Below are 22,704 nucleotides of genomic sequence, written 5' to 3'. Positions count from 1 at the left end.
ACAACCTCATGGAGAGAAATAAACTGCTTATCTGACTGGGTTTGAGAAAAAGTTTATTTTGAGTTGTGCTGGTTAGAAGTAGGAAAGGGCTGACCGCTGCTTCAGACCTGTCCACTGCTGATTGGCTGACCTTAAAGCATGAGGCTGTCACTGATTGGTTGGCTTTCAGAAGCAAATTTACTGAAGTAAACTGTCATTGATTAATTGGTTGTGTCTAAACCAGTTCATGTGGCTCTGTATTGCTATGGCTATAGAACAATCAGTATTTTTCTAAGAGTGTGAACATGTTTGTTTTTATTCTCGGTAATATTTTATTGAAATTACATTGAAAATAGAAATAAGTGATCTAAAATGTAATAAATGAAAATATTTCTATTTACCAAAAGCAATGATCAGGAGAATATTCTTGTTTAAATTTTTCTGCATAGTAATTTTCAATAAAAAACTATAGACTAAGTTTTGTTTAATTGAATATATTTCATAAATAAAAAACTTTGTTCTCATAACTAATTATACAACCTGGAGATTATATTTTTATATAGCATTCTGTACATTATGCCCTAAAATTGGAATGTTTTGCTCAAAATGAGTTACTATATTTCTGATTGCTATGTGTCACTTTTTGAAAGTAATAGGAATAGAAGCAATCAATTGACAAAGTATTGCATTCTTTGACTGGATTTGATCATTTGTATCAACCGTAGAATGTTGCACTAGAAAGAAACCATATATTTGGCCCATAGTTTCTCCAACTGACTGTACATTAGATTAATCAAGGAGCTTTTTAAAAATACCAATGCCCAATAATCACCTCTAAGATTCATGATTTAACTGGGGCTGGTCCCGATCATTCTATTTTTCCTCATCTCCCCAGATGATTATAATATGCAGCCAGGGTTGAGATCCACTGGTCTAGTCAACACCTCATTTTACAGTTAGGGAAACTGAGGCCAAGGTAATTCAGGTGGTTGTCCAAAGTCACACGGACATAGTTACAGGCAGAGGCAAAACTAGAACTCAGGTCTTTAGATTCCCATTTACTGCTTATGCAGTTACACCAAAAACGATGATGTTGATCCACCCAATGTTATGGTTAGAATGCAAAGAAACGTCCTATGAAAGCACAAACTATGAAGCTTTAGTCTACTAATAAAAGCTTTATTAGTATTTATTGAGCCACAATTAATTACCACTAATTATGCTCTCAAAAGCAGACTGACGTTCACCTATTGTTAAACCCATTGGTCCTAATTTCATGAGGTAAGAAACTGCTAGCTTTCTTCTCAACAATTTATTTTCTTGTTTTGATTTCATCACATATTTTCTGTAATGCATAATTTAGTAAACTGTTGCAAAAACTTTTATAAAAAGAACAAGTGGGTTTTTTTTCCCACAGATTTAAATCTCTAGGGTAAGAGTGAATAAATGTGTCAGTAATCAACTGTAAGCCTAAAGCCAAGATAGTAATTACAAACATTTGAGGTTTAGGCTGCAGAACTCAGAAATATTTAAGTAGTGTACTATTAATGTGGCTGACAGTGCTTCTGAAAGTTTTTGCTTCATCTCATGTATTACATTAAATTATTATTTTATTCCAGTTATTATGCAATTTTTTATTTAATTAAGTGAAATAAACACATCCTTACCTTAAAGCAAGTAGAATGGCAGCAAATTTGTAATTCATCTAAAATCATTTTAGTTTCTACACCCAAGGGTTTTCGGCAGTAAGTGCACATATCTCTTTCAATGACAGACCTATAGAAATGTAAGCAATTAAAAATAAATTTGCCATAATACAGAAGACAGATGTATTCCCTATAAACTCACATGGCAACGGTATATTAATTTTGATGATACTTTACTTTAGAAAATTTCACAAAAAAACAAGGAAAGTTTGGAGTTTATTTATTCTAGTAATATAATTGACTTCTAGTTTTCTCAAAATGATATCAAATAATTAACATGAGAGAAAGTCCCAAATTATTAATTCATCAGAAATCAAGAGTAAATCTGGGTGGGACAAAGATGTTCAGTTTCCTAATTGAATTAGGAAATATCTCAAGTACTCCTCAGAAGTACTAGAGGGCTTTTAATTATGAATTTACATATATCATGTTACAGATTACACGGAAAAATTATGCTGCAGATTAATATACATTTTTAACTCTCAGAATATTCAACAGGCCCAAAATAGAAATCCATTCAAGAGCACATAGATAAACTCACAAAATGATGAGTCTGTAGTGCCTGGGACTGTAGGGGCCAGAGTCACCAAAACACTCCTCTTGGTGCCACTGTAAGACTCAGGATATAAGGATACCTATCGTGACAAAATTTATACCCTCCAGCAAGACATAACCCCACCACAAATTTGATGGGGAAGAAAAGAGAGTTTTGTTATTTATTAAATAACAAATACTAAATATTTGTTAAAATAATGTTCAATGATAAATGATCTGTAGATGTGATCAGCAGAATCCAAAATATCTTGAGTCACACCAGAACCTTAAGAAAGGATCCTTTTCCTTTTTTAAGGTCTTAGGACACTCTTAAATAGCACCCTGCAGAGTATACTAGTTTCAGGATATTAGCATGCAGGCCTGACATTTCCAGAGTAGGATATGTAATGGGGTAGTGAAATTAAGCTATATTTATATAGCCCTTTATATGATATATGAAGTGCACTTTTCTCTGCACTTATATACTCACTTATTCTTCACAACATTCCTGACAAGCCACTATTATTATTTTTATCATCATTTTATTAAAAAAGAAACAGGTACAGAAGGATAAGAAACCTGCTACTATCATGAAACCAGTGAGTGGAAGAGTGAAGATGTGAATGGAGGCAGCGTGGTACCAACACAATGAGTCCAAAGATCTGATGCGCTCATTGTGTTGAAATGAGTTAGTCGTACCCAGGAACCACTAATCTATTATCAAGCCCAGAAGTAGGAGCAGAGAGGAGAGAGAATGGAAAGGAAAAGTAAGTAGGAGAAGAAAGGCATTATAGTAGATAAACTTTATCTAGCTTTATACTTTTAATCATTCTAGTAATGTCTTTCTAAGTCTCATGTATATAAATAAATATTTTCTGCTTTTATTTGTTCTGTACCCACTTGCTTATAGCTACCTAGCAAATATTTTCCTATGGATTATCCATAAACACACACACATATGTATGCATACACTTAAATTTCCCATTTAAGACTGTAAGCACTTCAAGAGTAGAAAATAGGTGCTCTATGTCCTTCATCCATTCCACAGGCACTGATCTAGGAGCTGCAAATACAAAGAGTGGTGAGCCAGTCTCCTCTGACAAGATGCTCTTTCCACTGGGGAAACTAGATGCATGATATAACATGCATGATTGTTTCCAGGGCTTGGGTTGAAATGCAGAGTGGAATACAGGTACGTGGACAGACTGAGGAGAACAGAGCCAAGAGAACCACTAACCCCTGGGGTGAAGTCAGGAAAGCCTTGTCAGAAAAAAGTGCCATCTGCATTGTTTGAAGAGGAAAGAGCTCTCAAGGTGGGCTTGGTGGGGTGGGGATGAGGGGTTGGTGGAGGAATTCCAAGCAGAGTGAACAGAACATACAAACTTGCTACTCTGGGAGGGTGTTTGGAGGGATTCAGCATCAGTGAATATTCTGCTGGAGCAGGTTCTGAAGGGCCATGGAGAATGTGCAAAAGATGTTGGACTTTATCTGGTTACATGGGAAACCACTTTAAACAGGATTGACGTGCTTAAATAAGAACTGTAAGAACATCGCCAATTTCACACACTATCAACAGCAAAAGGTTGTATAACTGACTGGTCTCATGGAGAACTGACTTCTGCGCTGATGACTAGGAAAAATTTCAAAGCCATTTTAGGAATAGGGTTTAAAGTCTTTCTATTAACAGCAATACTTTTATGGAGAATGTTTTCCTCCCTTAATAATAGAAATACAAGCTCAGGAAATGCACTGATGTTGGTACTATCTTTATTAAGATCATACAGTTAGTCAAAGATCTTTTTGAAGCATTGTGAAAACCTAGATCTGTTTTTTTTAATTGGCTATCCAGATGATATCTGTAGTTCTAATGCTGGTGTCAATGACTTTACTACTCAAAGAGGTGTGACTTACAGGCAAGACACTCAGCAAAGCATTGCTAATGGGCAAAATATTGGAAAAGTGACAAGAAAGGGATATAATTTTGATACCTGGTTCACCCATGTTTCCCTTAGAAAATGGAACATAGGTTCATGTTTTTTTAAAAAAAATTTACTGAGTACACATTAGGTACCAAGCACTGTGTTAGAAGCTGAGACTACATATGAAAATAAAATATCTCTACCTTGAGTGAGTCATATCTCCAGCCCCTGCTATAAAGAAACAACATCAGTGGAACATCAGACATTTGCATGATGGCTTGTTTCCAGGGCTTGGGTTGAAATACTAATTATTTATTTTCATTTACTTCACTGGAAATCTGCATGCCATACTCTCATAAGTGTCACCTAGGTGCTCCACTGAACATTGAATGGTAAAAGAGGATCACTAACAGCAAAAACCTGGAACAGGGCCAGCTCACCAGCACTCAATCAATACTCATCATGACTCCACTCCTGGGAACTGAGCTTGGGCCCAGAGTGGGTCACAGCAGCACATCTGCATGGCTGTTTGTAAGCCAAGAAGGCTGCAGAAAAGCACAAGAAGGGGGGATTGATGGCACAGTCTATGGATGCAATGAAGCCTAAACGCTAATAATGTGGCAGTCCTGGGGCCTCCTGGGGATCACCAGCAGCAGAGGGGCTGGCCTGGGAGGCAGCTGTAAGGCACAGAAAGGTCTTTTGATAATATGCATCAAAATCAGACAGCAGCAACAGCCAGGAATCCAAGAAACAAATTCCTGGATGCAGAAGTTGTTACTGAGTTGCACTTTGGTCTGCCCATGCACATACATGACAAGAAACATCAGCAGAACCATCTCCAAGTACAAAGAACAGCAAGAAATATATATATATATATATTTATTTATATATGTATATATATTTATATATGTATATATGTTTATATATGTATATATGTTTATATATGTATATATGTTTATATATGTATATATATTTATATATATGTATATATATTTATATATATGTGTGTGTGCCTGTGTGTGTGTATATATATATATATATGTGTGTGTGTGTCTGTATGTGTGTACTTTTTATGTATGGAAATAAAGACATACTCACCTATCAGAAGTTGAATAAACAGTTTGTATGTATTTTCCAGAGATATTCTCCTGATATCCATCCTTGGGTGATTTACTAGGAACAAAATATATGGACATGTGAGAATCAGGTGATTTTCCTTATGTAGATAAGAAAACACACTCACACCACCTCATGAAGCCTCATAATATTTTATCTTTGTGTATGTTACAAGCCAGGATGATGTACTGACACATTTTTTTAATCTGTAGAAATATTGATACACAAGTCACCCCCAATTTGACATATATACCAAAATAAATAGAGAGTAGGGTAAGGAATACAGGAACAAGTGTGAGCAGGAAAAGAAGTCCTCATCTTTCATGAAATTTATACTTGCACCTCATCTGTTTACTAAAGAAAGCTACACAGAATGTAAAGTAGATAAAGAAAATACACAAAGCACAAACAGGGCAAGCACACAGACACATACACCATTCACAGAGAGAAACTGAGATTCTTGAACTTTTAGAAAAAGCATGCAAAATTTTTATTTTTACTTGAATATATCCAAGAAAGAATAATTTAGAATGAAAGCAAAGAAGTATGATTTTTAAAAGTCTTCTGTTTTCTATTATGTAGATTATCCCAGCTTTTAAACACCACTATTTCCTGGAGACAAATAAAATCTGTAATGTCCTAACCAGCTGGCTCCCATAATTGCTTTCCAAGTACTTATGCTATCTGGGCATATATTAAGAATAGGAGCAATATGTTTCTTTATTTCATACAATGATTGATAACCACATGGCTCTCACTTGGGATTTTTAAATGAGAAACCTATCTTTCTCTCCAAATTTCCTGGAGGCAGACTGCTGTCAGAACTAAAATCTACTTTATGAAACACATAATCCCACAATGCTACAAAAAAATTTGCACATATTTATGGAGGATGCATGTCATGATTCCCATTTTATTGATGAGGAAACTTGAGACTGGAAGAGTAACATCACTAGGGCTACACGGTTAGGAAACGACAAAGAAGGATTCAACCTCAAATATGACTCTTGGGACTCCATACTGTACCACGCTGCCTGTCAATGTAGATTTTAGGAAACTTAAGGATGTCTGAGGTACATCACCATCCTTGCTAGGTTAAGGTACAGGAGGCAACGAATCCTTTCAGAGGCTTCCGGTCAACAGACTATTAGCCTGATATGCCACAATATTAATATTATCTTTTTATAATGATGGTGCTCAAACTCTGATGCACATCAGGAACATCTGAAGAGTTTGTTAAAACACAGGTTGCTGGGCCTGAGCTGCAGAGTTTCTGATCTAGCAGGCAGGAGTGAGGCCAAAGAATTTTTATTTCTAGAAAGTTCCCAGGTCATGCTGATGATGCTGGCCCAGAGACTATGCTTTGAGAATTACTGTTCTATATGTGAACATGATACACATATGTACAGGGTATTCAGTATATACTTTTAAAAAAATAAACCATAGTCATCATAATAAAATAAGTATGCTTTAGTCTTGGTACTTCCATGAATCAAGTTAATATTATTTTATCCATCTATCCTATTAATTAAAAAATCTCGAGTACGATGTTTAGCAGAATATTCCTATTCTTAAATAAATCATTCATTATTCAAAAATCAATATTGTGGTTGTTTGGCATTAGTTCCCATAAGAAATTTCTTTAAAAATCAAAATGTATTGATGTGACATCCCATAAGGATAAAAATGTGAGAGATTATTATGTAAATATAGAAAAAAAGCCTATGTTATTGTTCGCCAATATTTCACGCCTTGCCTTCACTATGATACTATTTGATATTACTCATCTTTTTATCAATTTATTTCAGATTTAGTAACTCCTTAGTGTTTTAAAATTTACTCTGAAGTGTTTTAACTTTTAGTTTAATTGAAAGACAGCAGAAATCACTGACTTGAACACGCCAGAGAGTGAGAATTGGATTAAGGAAAAAATCAATATTGATGTTGCATTTTACAAGGTAAATTATGCATGGGTTTGAGAAACCTTTTTTGGAAGATCGCTTACCTCCTGACATGTATTGAATTTCCTGGATCCCCATCACGACTGCCATCCACACAGAAGCTTCCCTGAATACTCTTCTCTTAGACCTCTTTGAAATGGGCTTAGCTTAACATATGGGTCATGTATACCAGCATTTGTGTGCCCCACCATTATTGTACTTCACAATTGGGACAATTCTTGTTTTATATTCCTTGAAAACCAAATGAATTATTGAGCCCTGACCTTGGTTTACATTTTCCTCAATATCCATCACTCCAAGCAGCAGATTTCAATTGAAACATCAATATCCCATAACTTGGGCCAAGATAGCACTACTCAAATTTATACCCCTTATTTTAGATTGGCAGTAAACAAAAGTAGATAGAATTATTTAATTCAAGTGGAACTCCAAATTAGTATAGGAATAGTTGTGCATTTTATAAAGCTTATTTTAACCATATAGTTATATACATTTATGTGAGAACTTTCAAATGGCAACCCTATTATGTATACATGTGTTATACTAAAATATTACTGAGTTCATCTAATGACTATAATTATTTATAGCCCAAGTACATAATATCAGAAACATTATAGAGAATTATATATATATAGAACTCAATGTACTTATAAACGGTCTTCTATTTGAAAGAAGCACACTCTAAAACAATAGCATCTCTTATTAAACATAGATCCTTTCAAAATTATAAAATGAAGCAATATATTTGAAATAAATTTTGAATACCTATTCTCCACATATGTCCTTGTGTACACAACAGTATCCTGTGGTCCTGCCTGCTTGGCTCCAGTGTTAGAGCTGCAAAACAAATCATTTTACTTCATGATTAAAGTTTATTTGCAAGGATAATAAAAACAAGGCTATTTTCTAATTCAATGCAAAATGTAATGAATATATGTTCCTTCTGAACTATAACTTTGAAACATGAATGTTAGAGTGGTATTAACACAGCACTGCAAAAATTTTTTTGTCTTCCATTTTGTTTTTAACTTCCACTGTCTTGGTTTACTTCCTAAGCATTGTTACAAAACTTGATCACTCAGTAATTCTTTTGTAGAATATGAGGATTATTTTTGAATATTTGTATAATATGTTCTAGTGTCTCTTTCTCTGATGTCTCATTCATATTTCCAAACCATAACTTTCTTCATAAACCTCAAACCAAAAGTAGACCTTAATTAGCTATCATGACAATATCTGATTTAATGAAGCCTTTAGATCTACCTAAAGAATGTCACACTAATGTCACCATCATGCTTTTTTAAATTGTAGACTTTTTAAGGGAAAATCACGTTTGATAATTTCCTATCCAGATGTCACACAATGACACATTCACTAACTCAATACTTTTGTGTAAAGCTGTTTATGCAGGTAACCCCACATAAAATTAGAAATTTCTGCATTTCAAAGAAAGGGTCAAGTTGGATGTGGGGTATTTTTATAAACAAAGGGAGAATAGTCCTGTCATTTATTCTGCAGTTGACTGCGGTACCTGAGATTGTTCCTGGCTTCATAAGAATGGGAAGCAATTCTTGTGGACTGGTTGTGTAGAGCATTGGTGAACCCATTGACTTGGGCATCTAGCCTCAGAAAGCAAACACAAGTATTTTGCACTTCAAATCAAGGTCACTAGAAGTTTTTTGTGTTATTAAAGTTCTTCTCAATTAACATTATTTTACAATGTGACTCTCTTTGTGTTTGCCTGGCTTCTTTTTTTTTTTTTTTTTTTTTTTTGAGGCGGAGTCTCGCTCTGTCGCCCAGGCCGGACTGCGGACTGCAGTGGCGCAATCTCGGCTCACTGCAAGCTCCGCTTCCCGGGTTCACGCCATTCTCCTGCCTCAGCCTCCCGAGTAGCTGGGACTACAGGCGCCCGCCACCGCGCCCGGCTAATTTTTTGTATTTTTAGTAGAGACGGGGTTTCACCTTGTTAGCCAGGATGGTCTCGATCTCCTGACCTCATGATCCACCCGCCTCGGCCTCCCAAAGTGCTGGGATTACAGGCGTGAGCCACCGCGCCCGGCCTGTGTTTGCCTGGCTTCTACACAGATAACACAAATAGAATGCATGTGCTATTTTACTCCCTCTACGGAAACCTCTGCCTTACCTTTAAGAATAATCTATAGGTATGTGCCACATTAGCTAACATTGCCCTTTTTATCAAGGACAGAAATCATCTGAAATTGGTTCCTGTAACATTTTCACACCAGCAATGCCATTATAGAAAGCTTCCCATGTACAATATATCTAAGAATTTATCAATTGAATGAAAATGATCCAGAGGTTGCTTTGAGAAATTCCAGTCTTCATTTTGGTTTTAATGGAAGGCAATATTTTGAAGATGGCAGAAGAACTCTGACCTAGATTTCTGCTAATCTAAAAATATCATGATGCTTAACAAAATGTTGGCATATTTGCTTTCTCCTATGGAAGAGAGGAGATTCTTAATGCAAAAATAGAGAAAATTTAAGCTCCTTTTCCTCCTCCATGTTAGTAAACTCTGACATAGAAGAGACATGAAAACCTAAATGAGGGTTTAGGTCTTAATCAAGCCTTATCATTCTCAAACAGGCTGATAAAGCTCTTAAAGAAGAGGAAAGCATTTGTTCACATATTATCTCTGGCATACAGAAAACCGTCTGGTTTTAAGGCAGATGTTTCACAAAACATACAGGTGAGCTAAAATTTTATTAAGTGATGAGAAGGTGGAATTAATATTATTAGGTTTTCTAACACGATTATTAGAATATGTCATCCCAAGAATAACAAACCTAGCTAAGAATCACTTGAAAATGTTCAGATCATATAATATACAATACAAAACCCAACTTTAAGAAGTAGACAGCGTCAAAGGACAAAGATTATCAGTGAGTTTGAAATGCATTTGCACTGTCCTCAGCAATAGAATATCAAAAATCACCAGTTTGCAAAATCCACAAACAGGAGAGATAAGTGATTTGCCAACAGTACTGTTATGGACTGAGATGTATTCCCCCAAAATTTACATGTTTAAGCCATAACCTTCAATGTGACTATATTAGGAGACAGGGTTAATAAGGAGGTAATAAAGGTCATCTGAGGTTATGGGGGTGGGGCCTTAATGCCACAGAACTGGAATCCTCATAAGAAGAGGAAGAGCTACCAGAGATATCTTACCTTCTGTGTACAGAGGAAAGGCCATGTGAGTACACAGTGAGAAGGTGGCCATCTGCAAGCCAGTAAGAGAGGCCTCACCAAAACCAACCCTGATAGGACCTTGCTCTTGGCCTTCCAGCCTCCAGAGCTGTGAGAAAATAAATGTCCATTGTCTAAGCCACCCAGTCTGTGGTATTTTGTTATGGCAGCCCATGCTGACTAATACTGGTATCTTTTCCCAGTTGTGTTTATAATGTGATTAATGACAATGCCTTCATGGAAGATTTAATTTTTATAACTGTGAACAAAAACCAAATGCTAGGTTTGGAATGTGGGACAACAAATTCTTTGATGGATTTTGCTCCTCATGTAGACTTTGAGGATGATAATTTTAAAAAATAAACCATTATTTTGGAGTAATTTTAAATGTACAGAAAAATTCCAAAGATGACACAGAAAGTCCCTGTACACCTTCACCCAGATTCCCTTAAGGTTAATATGTAATTATAACAGAGCTGTCAAACCTACAGAATTAATATTTGTACCATACTATGAACTAAACTACAGATTCATGTCTCACTGGTTTTTACATTGGTGACTTTTTTCTGCTTCAGAATCCAATCCAGGATATCATATCTACATATCCATCATGTCTCTTTGGTCTCCTAGGGTCTGTGATAGTCTGGAAGTCTTTGTTTTTCATGGGATAGTGATAGATTTTACAACAAAAAATGTATCTTCATTGACAATAAGTTGTAAGACTAATTTTTTGTTATTTAGAACCATAGGAATAGAGTTGGAGAGACAACACTTTGGCAACCAACAAAACAGCCCATAGTGCCTTTTAAAATGCTACTGGGCCCCCTATCCAGATATTCTAATTTAACTGGTTTGGGGTACAGCTTGGTCACTAGGAACCTTTAAAGCTCTCCAGTGAGCTCCTTATACAGTCAAGGTAGAGAATCACTGCCTTAGAGGTTGGGAAGTCCAACCTCTTACTCAAAAGAGCATTGATTCTCAAAGTATAGTCCCTAGAATAGCAGGTGATTCTGATGTACCCAAAAGTTTGGGAAACAGCGCAACAGAAGAACCTCTGCCAAATTATTCCTCTCAAATGCCTTGAATAATCCTTGTAAAGGAGAACTCATGACTCATAGCATATGTCACTTGATGGCTTAATTGTTAGGAAGTTATCCTCCATTGAAACAAATTGCTGAATTGTAATTTCCAATCAATGGTCACAGTTTTGTTTCTTAATTAAGCAATGACTCTACAAATACAAACCCAAACATTGTATTGAATCTTATAGAATTCCAAATGGATTTACACTTGAGAAAATGTTCCCTACAGTGTAAATTCACCTTGAAAATTTACCTAAAACCCTCATACACTGCGTGTGAGAATATAAAATGATATGGCTGCTTTGAAAACAGTCTAGCAGTTCCTCAAATGGTTAAACATAGAATTACTCTACAATCCAGCAATTTCACTCCTGGTATACACCTAAGAGAAATAAAAACACATTTTCACACAAAAACTCATATATGAATGTTCATAGCAACATTAATCAAAATAGTGAATTAAAACCCAATAGTGAAACAATCCAAATGTCATCAGGTGATGAATAGATAAACAAAATTGTCTGGCCACCTTATAATTATATGATTTGAAAAGTATGACAGTTCTTAAAATCTGTGAAATGGCCCTATGAAATTAATTTCACTCATAGTCACAAACCATTTAGTTTAGGGAAAGACTCTATCATTTAGAATTGAAATAAAAATATTTAAACTTATTCCTGTTGAGTCTCAGAAAAAGTACCCCAAAATGAAAGCCTCAGAAGCAGCCTCAGAAGCAAAAGTTTTTCTCTGACCTTCTCCTGCCCTCCTGTCTCAGTCTCATTCTCCCCCAAGGATAGCCAAAGAAACTAGAATCCCTCTTCCCCAAGGCAAGAATCCTTCCTTCCCCAAGGAAACCAAAACCTGTTTTCCCCAAAGCCAGCCATAAAACCTAAAATTATTACTCTACCTATCCCTTCACCTTTCTTTCTATGTAAAAACTGGCCATAAAGAAATTCTCTGACATCCCTTGCTTGACTGTAGGTCATAAGACCCCCAATCCAGAAGAATTCTGCCCCATGCCCAGAAGGAAGGAATGCATGCTCAAGAGGTTAAGAATAATCTAGGGACACAGGCCTTGCTGGCTTTCCCCACTCAGTCTCTTGCCATTAGGTCATATTATTTTTGTCCAATCATATTTCTACATGGCTCTCTGTACTTTATTGAACCTAAGTATTAAATGGACAATTTCCCCTGTATCTTTGGGTCTTCATTCTGAAGTCTCCGATCACAGGTTAAATAAATTTGTATGCCTTTTCTCTAATTACTCTGCCTTTTGGGAGTTGATTTTTCAGCAAAGCTTCAGAGGGCAAAGTGGAACTTTCCCCTTGGCTCCTACCTTCTTAATGAAACGAATTAGAAAACATGTATTTGCTTGGGCATCCAATTACGATGTAAAGTGAATACATTCATAAAATGAATCACCTTTCAGTTTAGCAGATTTTCCCGGGACTCTTATTTAGATTTTTAATTTGATTCATTAAAGTACCTGAAGAGGTAGAGTAAGCTGAAGTTACAAAGAAGCCAAAACTGAGAGGCAAAAAAAAATTTGGTTATCAAACAGAAGAGCAGAGAATAAGGAAGCCAACAGGTACAGGGAAGGGCAGGAAAAAGATGGACAAAAGCCAATACTCAGTGACTAGCTGAGTTCCACTAGTAACAAAGAACTCTAGTTAATGTCCAAGGGTTCCAAACTTCTTCAGGTCAAGAATGGACAATCTCCCAAGTGAAATCTCTCTGAGGCCCGGCAATGCCACCATTCCTGCTCTTGAACTTCCATGAAATTCCATTTCCTCATTAATCCCATTTCATGAACAAGTCCAATGGAACTGGAATGCTTCTCAAATCAAATGGGAAATTCCTTAATTTTACGTAATAATTTACTTGTAATTTTTTTTACCCCAATCACTTCCAAATAATACTTGAATGAGATTAGTTAAATGTAAGCCCAGTCCTATTCCCAAAATAGTACATGTGTTTCCAGGATAAGCAGATTCTACTGAAAATTTATCCTCCCTCATTCTCTCAAAGACTTTCTCAAGGTCACAAACAGAAGGAAGAAGATGTTTTGGGGAACTAAAGGAATGGAAAGAAACTATCTACCTGTCGGATTCAGGAACCTTTTAGAGACAGTATGAAAAAGAAAAATGAGCCAGCTCTTTTCCTAGCTTTTCCATTCTCTGCAGATGAAATCACAATATCATTTCTTTTCATAGAAAAAATAATAGAAAAGGTAACTGCACCTATGAAGGTGAAAATGGTAACCTATTGTGTTTAGTATTCCCTCATATGTAGGGGTAAGAATTGCTAAACATGGAAAAGTTAATTTTTCCTGAAGTATACAGTCTGTGACAAAAATGAAGTATAGCTCCTGTCCTAACCTTTCTTGTAATGGCCAATAAGGTATCACAGTTTTAAAGCTATTATACCCTATGGTGTAAAGAAATTTCAAAATTAGGTCCTGTTTTGTGGCTGTGATAAATTCATGCATTCTTTTAGCACTAGGCATCCAAGGAAGAGATTCCCAGAGTGCTTTCTGCACTGCTGAGAGCTTACCAAGCAACAGTAAGTAAAAATAAATCTTCACAGCCCCAAAGAGCTTTGAATTTCCATGATGCCATTTACACTAAGCAATAGAACAGCAGGCCCTGAGTCAGAAATTCTAACAGAATAAGAATTATATTAATTTTTCCCTATTAGCTATTAAGCACCTTGTAAATTTTTGTATTTGGATGATATATATATATATATATATACACACACATATATATACACACATATACATACACACTATCCAAATTATATATTACATAATATATAATATTATATTTTATATATATAATCTTCTAAGGCTATACAATATATGCAGATGCATATAGAACTCATAAGAAAAAAAGTGAATTATAATAAGCTTTACCTTCCATTCTTGTTTTCAGACACATGAGAATTTACTTCAATTAAATTTTCCAGGTTCTGGTCTCTAAGGAAAAAAATATATATATATGAATAATTACAACATAATGATAGGAAATAAGAAAATGCTAAAACATTTTAAAATCAGTACATAATCTTAGACACAGTCATTTGTGGTCTATCAGGCTATGGGAGATTGAATATCTGACATTGAGCTATTTGATCCATACAACTCATGGATCAAACATGGAAGTATGGATTACATTGTGAAAGAGAAATAAAGAACTAACTTTTTGGAAGGTTTGGGAAATCTGATCTGAAAAGAAATCACTAATTTTTATTAACATTCAGCTCATTTTTCTTTTTTTATTGATGTATAATAGATGTACAAAGTTTCAGGGTATGTGTGATTTAATACATTCATATAATTTGTAAAGATCAAATTAGTGTACTTGGGCTATCTATCACCTTAAATGTTTATCTTTTCTTTATGCTAGACTTATTCAATGTCTTCTCATCTAGTTATTTGGAAATGTACAATCAATAATTGTAAACTATAGTCACCCTACTGATCTAATACTAGGTCTTATTTCTTTTATCAAACTGTATATTTGTACCCATTAATCGACTTCTTTTCAGCTAACATTTAATGAGTACTATCTTTGTGTCATGAAGTACTGTGTTTTCACAAGGATTATCTCATTCAGATCTCACAAAAGTCCTGCAGAACAGCATCTGGAGCTCAGACAGGCAAAGTAAATTTTCCAAGGCCAATTAATTAATTTTTGGAAGAGTCAAGATTTGAGATGATGCCATCTGCCCACCTGAAATCAATTCTTAGATGTTTACCCAGAGACCTTATTTAGGCTTTGGGGATCACAGAAACAAGGGAAATCAACACAAAATTTGAATAAATAATTCATTATGTGGGGGAAGAAATGGAGTAATTTGATTCTTATATCTTGGGCTGCATTAATGATTTGACACCCTTTCATGAGATACAAGATCCTCTGGTATGTTATTTATATATTAGGTATAACATTGATAGTTCTGTTTTTTTTCTTTTGTCATGAGTTAGGAAACGTCTTTGTTAATAGGGTAGGAGCACTGTTTAGAAGTCAAAACAATGAGACCCAGTTTTTTCCTTACTTCTGTGACCAAGTTAGTCAACCATTCTAAACTTTATTTTGCTTATTAGTCTGTTTCCACACTGCTATAGAGAACTGCCTGAGACTAGGTAATTTATGAAGAAAAGAGGCTTAATTGACTTACAGTTCCATATGGCTGGGGAGGCTCCAGGAAACTTACAATCATGGCAGAAGGTGAAGGAGAAACAAGTACGTTCTTCATAAGACTTCATAAGGCTGCCAGGGGGAACCACCAAACACTTTTAAACTATCAGATCTCATGGAAACTCACTGGCTCTCATGAGAACAGCATGGAGGAAACTGTCCCCATGATCCAATCACCTCCCACTAGGTCCCTCCCTTGACATGTGGAGATGTGGAGATTATAATTTGAGATAGTATTTGGGTGGGGACACAGAGCCAAACCATATCATTTTGTAAAGAAGGACACTAATGTCCAAACTCATACAATTGTGGTGAGAATGAGTAAGTTAATGTAAATAAAATTCATGGCACAATGATATGGTTTGTGTCCCCACCCAAATGTCACCTTGAATTGTAATAATCCCTATGTGTCAAGGGTGGAGCCAGGTGTAGATAATTGAATCATGGGAGTGGTTGTCCCCTCACTATTCCTGTGGTAGTGAACAAGTCCTAAGAGATCTGATGGTTTTATAAATGGGAATTCTCCTAAACAAGCTCTCTTGCCTGCCACCACATAAGACATACTTTTGCTCCTCCTTCACCTTCCACCATGATTGTGAGACTCCCCAGCCACGTAAAACTGTGAGTCCATTAAACCTCTTTTTATTTATAAATTACCCAGTCTTGGATATGTCTTTATTGGCAGCATGAGAACAGACTAATACACACAATGACTACAGTTGTGGGTGAATTGAATAAGCATAAAAAAATAGTAGTGCTGTGATCCTGCAGTTGACACTATTGATTCCACATTTTGAGAGGCCACTTTCACATTTTTATTTCTGTCCTAAATTGTCACATCTTTGGAATTAACTGTTTTTTAAAAATCTCCCCTCTCGTGGTCCTAAATAGTGGGTTCAAATAAGGTTATTATACATGGAATCAGTATACAGACTCTCACTCACAAATATTGATAAAGATGCAAAATATGATAAAATGTTCTCATGTTTATGTGGGGTGAGATTTAATACTCTTTTTACATAACATCCAAGCCAACAATAATTGGTAAAATATGCAAATTCGGCAGCATTCCCTAGCCATACTTAAGCCTCACATTTAAAACACTAACTGCATACTTTTGAAACTGTAGAAATTAGGGTAAATTACTTTTTAAATGAGTAACAGTGGAACTATGCCAATTAATGCAGGTAAAAAGTACTAGGTTTCAGAAGTAGCTCGGAAGTATCAAATTATTGGCTCTGCAGTCCAAATGATGTAAAATTCAAAACTGAATTCTTCTACATAACTGCAAGAACTGAGTACGATAATCTCCCAGCATAAATCCTGCAAATTTAGAAATAGTGACTAGAGTCTTGGGATTTGCCTAATCCTTGAAGGTCTCCACTAATTACTAGAGCCATCTTCTTGGCATAAGGGGTCACTAAACTATCTTAACAACCTTGGCCATTAAGAGATCTTCCCCTTAATGTTTTAAGTAATACTTTACTCAATATTTGGGGATAGTGGAATAAAATTAAAGGGAATATCATGGTATTCCATGATCCAATTTCTTAGGAATGTCAAACTGGGATGGTGGGCAGTGGTAAATAGTGGAAGATCATCAGGAGGTGTGACTCTTGGGCAATTAGAACTTTGTTTCTCAAAGTGATTCCCCTTCCAGTGCTAATGCCAGAGGAACTGAGTGCTAGTTTTATAGGGAAACTGGTGGCTTTCATTACAACTTGAGAGTAGGGTCACATTACTATGGCCTAACATGGCCTTGCACATAGTAGCTGCTCCATAAATATTTGTGGAATTAATTTAAATTATCTTTTCTTTTTTGGGGAAACCTCTTACAACCTTATCCAGCTCTGAGAAAAGATATTAAAGGAACCCCAGGGGGAAAGTATTAGCCTAGACCATTAACCTTTAAGATTGTCTGGTCTGTCTATATCTAGGGACATAGTGTCCACCATATCCATGTGGAAAAAAGACCAGTAAAGCCAGTTATGGACATTTCACCTCCATCTCTGTCCATCACCCAGGACCTGCCTTACTTCACCCCTGAATGCATATATTATATTTCTTTCCTTTTTGCACAGCTCTCAGTCCTGGCTTTGTTTAATTACCTTTGGAGCTTGTTCTGGGTTGAACTATGTACTCCCCCAAATTCATATGTTGAAGTCCTAACCCCCAATAGCTCAGAATGTGAACTTATTTAGAGATAAGCGTCCTCAGAGGTAATCAAGTTACAAACAGTGTCTCTGTAGGAGGAAATTTGGACTCAGACACACACAGAGGGAAGACAAAGTGAGGACATAAAGTGAAGACAGTTTTCTGGCTGGGCGCGGTGGTTCACGTCTGTAATCCCAGCACTCTGGGAGGCTGAGGTGGGTGGATCACGAGGCCAGGAGTTCCAGACCAGCCTGACCAACATGGTGAAACCCCGTCTCTACTAAAAATACAAAAATTAGCTGAGCGTGGTGGCAGGTGCCTGTAATCCCAGCTACTCAGGAGGCTGAGGCAGGAGAATTGTGTGAACTGGGGGAGGAGGAGGCTGCAGTCAGTCGAGATCCCACCATTGCACTCCAGCCTGGGCAAGAGGGTGAGACTCCATCTCAAAAAAAAAAAAAAAAAAAAAAGTGAAGACAAGTTTTCCACAAGCCAAGGAGAGAGGCCTGGCACAGATACTTCTCTTTTGGCCTCAGAAGGAACCAACTCCGTGGAAGGAACCAACCCTGCTGACAGCTTGATCTTGGACTTCTGCCCTCCAGAACTGTGAAACAACAAATATTTGTCTTTAAGCCACCCAGTCTGTGGTAGTTTGTTATGCAGCCCTAACAAATAAATACAGGTCTGCTTCTACCCTCACAACGTGATTACATATATTTTCTCAGCCTTATGGTGGACATCTTTAACTCCTCCTGGCTTTCAACTCCTGGCTGCTATAGATACTGCATAATCCTGGCTGCTGTAGACACTGCCCACCTGTCGCTCAACCTCTTTGTACCTTAGTTTTCATGAGGGGGAGAAAGAATGGTTTGGATCTGAGAAAGGAGAAGAAGCCAGAATCTTAAAAATCCAACAACTACAGATAGATAACTCAAAATTGCAACCTATGCGTGCCTTCAAAGAAACACATTTCCAAAGTGGTACAGTTGCAAATCACCAAATAAACTATATTATTATTTGTTTCATAACATTTTTCTTATTTTATTAAACAGTACCACATATCAGGTTTGGTAGAGTAATATTTATTTATTTATTTATTTAAGGCTAGTCAAGTGAAGCAATGGAAGTGGAAAAGGAACAAAGAAATCTATAACTGGTGTGAGTAGTTAGTAGTAAACACCACCGCACTCAGAGCAGCCAAGATTTTAATCTGAATAATCTACACTAATATTTAATGCAAAATAGAAAGTTCTAGAAGAAGAAAAGTACAAAGTGTGTATTTACTTTGGCTATTCACTCTGATTGATGCCATCAGCTACATTTGAAGATCCAGTAAAAGAAGCACAGACTGCTCATAAGCTTTCCAAGTTAAAGGAGATAAAAATAAATTTTTGTTCTTTAATTAAGACCACATCAATTGCATAATGACTTTTACACTGTGGTGTAAGATGAAGAACTGTGAGTCAACTGTGAAAAATAGATTTTTATAGAAATGCAGCCAAATGCTGCAGGGTTAAGCAGAGGCTTGATTCCAAACCCCTTTCATGGCGGTGGTGTAGAAGGCAGGCAGACCTTACAATTTTATACATTTATGGGCAGGTGGAATTAATTCTAAGAAAATCACCAACTTTCTGTAGTTACAGAAAATTATTGAAGAGCAAATTGTTACTGACTATTGCAACTAATAATGTTTTTTGTTTGTTTTTTAGAGACTGGGGTCTAGCTCTGTCTCCCAGGCTCGAGTGTAATGGTGCTGTCATAGCTCACTGCAGTCTCGAACTCCTGGACTCAAGCAATCTTCCCGTCTTAGCTTCCCAAGTAACTGGGACTACCGGTGCATGCCATCGCACCCAGCTAAATTTTTTAATTTTTGTAGAGACAGGGACTCACCATGCTAACCAGGCTGGTCTCAAACTCCTGGCCTCAAGCCATCCTCTCACCTCAGCCTCCCAAAGTACCAGAATTACAGGTACCTGGCCTAATAATGTTTTTAAAATGTAGACTGCAGAATATTTGGGGAGAAATGTGAGTTATCTATGAGCTAAAGCCACAGGACAATTTTTGAGTATAAGAATTTATCCATGTTATAATAATGTCATTTATTTTCTACTACCACATCAAAAACTATAACACTGTCTTACAAAGCAGGTGAAGGAAAAAAATAGAGATTCTGGGGACCCAGGAATTATGTCTCTTACTATATAACTTTTCCTAGGAGAAGCTCTGCATATGAGAAACTTATTAGCTCACTCCTAACTGTTCTTCCTTTCTCATGTGGGTGTGGGAGGTATTTATTAATAGGCAGCAATATGTTTCTCACCATACAGTTCATTTAAATTGTTTTTATAGAGTATCAAACACATTTACAAAATTAAGAGTCTTCATATAAAAAATTTACTATGGTATTCCTTTTACGCCAGGAACTAAATCTTAGGCATTAGGCGTTAGTTCAAAAGGAATATCTGTCTTTCTGAAAGGAATAGAGAATACAGTGAAAGAAGTGGTATAATTCCTCAACTTATTAACATAGCAAAATGGGCCCAACTCTTTAGAGTTTTACATATTTTTATAATTCTTTTCAGTGAGGGAGTCTTAAAGATTTAGTATTAAAGAAATTAACAGGTCCACAGAGCAGTTAGGCAATTTGGGTATTTTAAAAATAAGATGCGACCAAGAATTTCAGTGGCTCCCATTCACTATAGTTTATTGAGATTATGTCATGAGCAAAAGATAGTCATTGGCTCAAGCAAGGAGACCAGTCATAAGAAATCTGATTCTTTTCATCTTGTTTCACTCATAGGGGCTCAGAATGTCACAGCTGGAAGGCTAGACTTTCTCTAAGTGGACTATCATAAGGCATTGATGAGTTTGAGATTTATCCTTAATATGTGCTAAATACCTAACATGTACCAGGCATTGCATTATGCATTACAGGTAAATAAATAAACAAGGCAGACCCCGTAGTTACCCTTAAAGACCTTATAGTCAAAAAGGGATGATTAAATAATAACTCCCTCGAAGAGACCAATGTTATGGGCCAGAAAAGACAGCTCGAGAACATCTAGAAGAAGCATCTGATGCACACATGGTGGGTCAGGGGGGCTTCCCAGAGCCTGAGTGAGAGACACCTAAGCTGATACCTAAAGGATAAGTAGAAGTTAGCCAAGCAATCGCGATGAAGGAGGAGTGAGGAGTATGCAAGTTAGAGGGTGTGTGGGTGGGGTTTGCTTTTGGGTGGAGAACGATAATAGACGGGAGTGGGAAAGCCCATAGATGCCAGATCGTGGTGGGCTTAGAGACCAGGTTAAGGAGGAGCATGGCCATTATGCAATGGCAATGGGGAGCCACAGAAGGAGTTTAATCAGAATGACATGATCAGATTTGTGTCTTGGGAAAATCACTCTACAGGGTGGCGAATGGATTGAAGGGCAGAAGGGGAGATTGGCAGCAGAGGGGCAAGTTAGGAGGCTGAACAATAATCTGGACTACAGTACCAGTGGGTATGATGAACTGTCTTGGACCACTCCCTGAGATTATTAGGTGATGCATCCAAAGTGACTGATTGATTGATTATGGGGAATGAAACACCAGAAAGCGTCAAGGTTGTCCCCAAGTTTATGTTAACAGAAATATGAAAAATATGCAATAGATAGTTAGGAAGGAACTCTTCTCTTTTTGGAATACTAAAAACTTGGGGATGTCTTAACAAATAGGAAATCCTTAAGAAGATGGAAGTATAATGCCACAAACAGTTAAGAGTATTTTTTTTTCTACTTTAGATGAAAGATGCCTTTTCTAACTATAAAGGCCTTGGTGTCACTAGATGCTTTTCAATATTCATTCAGGAGCAGAAATGTAGCATTTTAATAATCAGTCTAACACAGTTTATAGGCTACCAATAACTGAATATCTCTCTTTGACACTGGTTGATGAAAATGTGAAACTGTTACTGCTACAAGTCATGCAAATTCTTACTGAATAAATGAAAATTTTGTGCACATCTGTATTTGTTCCTAGAAGAAGCTCAAGGATGCCTGCTTACATTCTGATCAATGGCTGTAGTTTGTTCAGCCCCTAACTGTGAATTAAATATACAGCTGCTGGAAATGTCAGCAAAGTCAGATGAAAGAACTCTGATTCACTGCTGTTATACTATTAAATAATCAGGGCTTGTGTCACACTGAATTGATATAACAGTGCCTTGTGACTGTTCTTCCTACTGGGAGGCACTTTTAAAATACTCTCCTTTATAGCTGCATTAAAATCAAGAGGGCAGAATGGAGAGATTACAGATACGGGTGGCTGAACCAATTGAATGAAGTCACTTTTTTCAAATAGATGGTTCAGTCTTTCCTGTTTGTCTGCTTTGTGATAATTCTTGAACATCCCAGTGGATTCTCATCAAATCTGGCATACTACTAAAGAATAATTAGACATAGGTTAGGTTAGATTTGTGAATCAAGCCGCCATCTTAAAACCACACGATAGCCAATATTTTTAAATTTTTTTATAGTAATCATATCTGTATACGGAAAATGTCGTCTTTCTACGGATATTTCATTAGGAGTTGCTGAAATACAAACTAACTTTCTACCAAATTGGCCTCTTCTAATAAAACAAAAGGCAAAAAACTCTTCTGAGAAAGTTACCATTGTCAACAAAGCACAATTGTCAGAGGGACTGAGGGAGGAAAGGGGTTGGGAAGGGGATGTGGGAGAGAAAGTGAGAGACTACATTTTTCACTGTCAGTTATTACATAACATGGTTATTGAACCTAACCACTTTCAACATGATTGGAAACTTCCTAAAACTGTTACTGATAAAAAGAAAAATCCACCCAACAA

General features: G+C 36.5%; 1 protein-coding gene and 1 pseudogene across 25 annotated transcripts in view; both read right to left on the bottom strand.

The window, feature by feature from the left end:
• Positions 1 to 22,704, bottom strand: part of SCEL (sciellin) — a 109,558-nt gene that overhangs the window by 2,833 nt on the left and 84,021 nt on the right. For all 25 annotated transcript variants that reach the window (NM_144777.3, XM_011535290.2, XM_011535283.2 and 22 more), the window contains 4 exons: positions 14,422 to 14,484; positions 7,981 to 8,052; positions 5,237 to 5,311; positions 1,647 to 1,755 (listed from right to left, as the gene is read on the bottom strand). In NM_144777.3, coding sequence (NP_659001.2) covers positions 1,647 to 1,755; positions 5,237 to 5,311; positions 7,981 to 8,052; positions 14,422 to 14,484 — 319 coding nt within the window. The remainder of the gene's footprint in view (positions 1 to 1,646; positions 1,756 to 5,236; positions 5,312 to 7,980; positions 8,053 to 14,421; positions 14,485 to 22,704) is intronic.
• RNY3P7 (RNY3 pseudogene 7) lies at positions 18,959 to 19,059 on the bottom strand (annotated as a pseudogene).

This window comes from Homo sapiens, chromosome 13 (genome assembly GCF_000001405.40).
Source record: "Homo sapiens chromosome 13, GRCh38.p14 Primary Assembly".
Taxonomy (NCBI): Eukaryota; Metazoa; Chordata; class Mammalia; order Primates; family Hominidae; genus Homo; species Homo sapiens.
The sequence above is the reverse complement of the archived record's forward strand: the minus strand, read 5'-3'. Positions and strand labels throughout refer to the sequence as shown.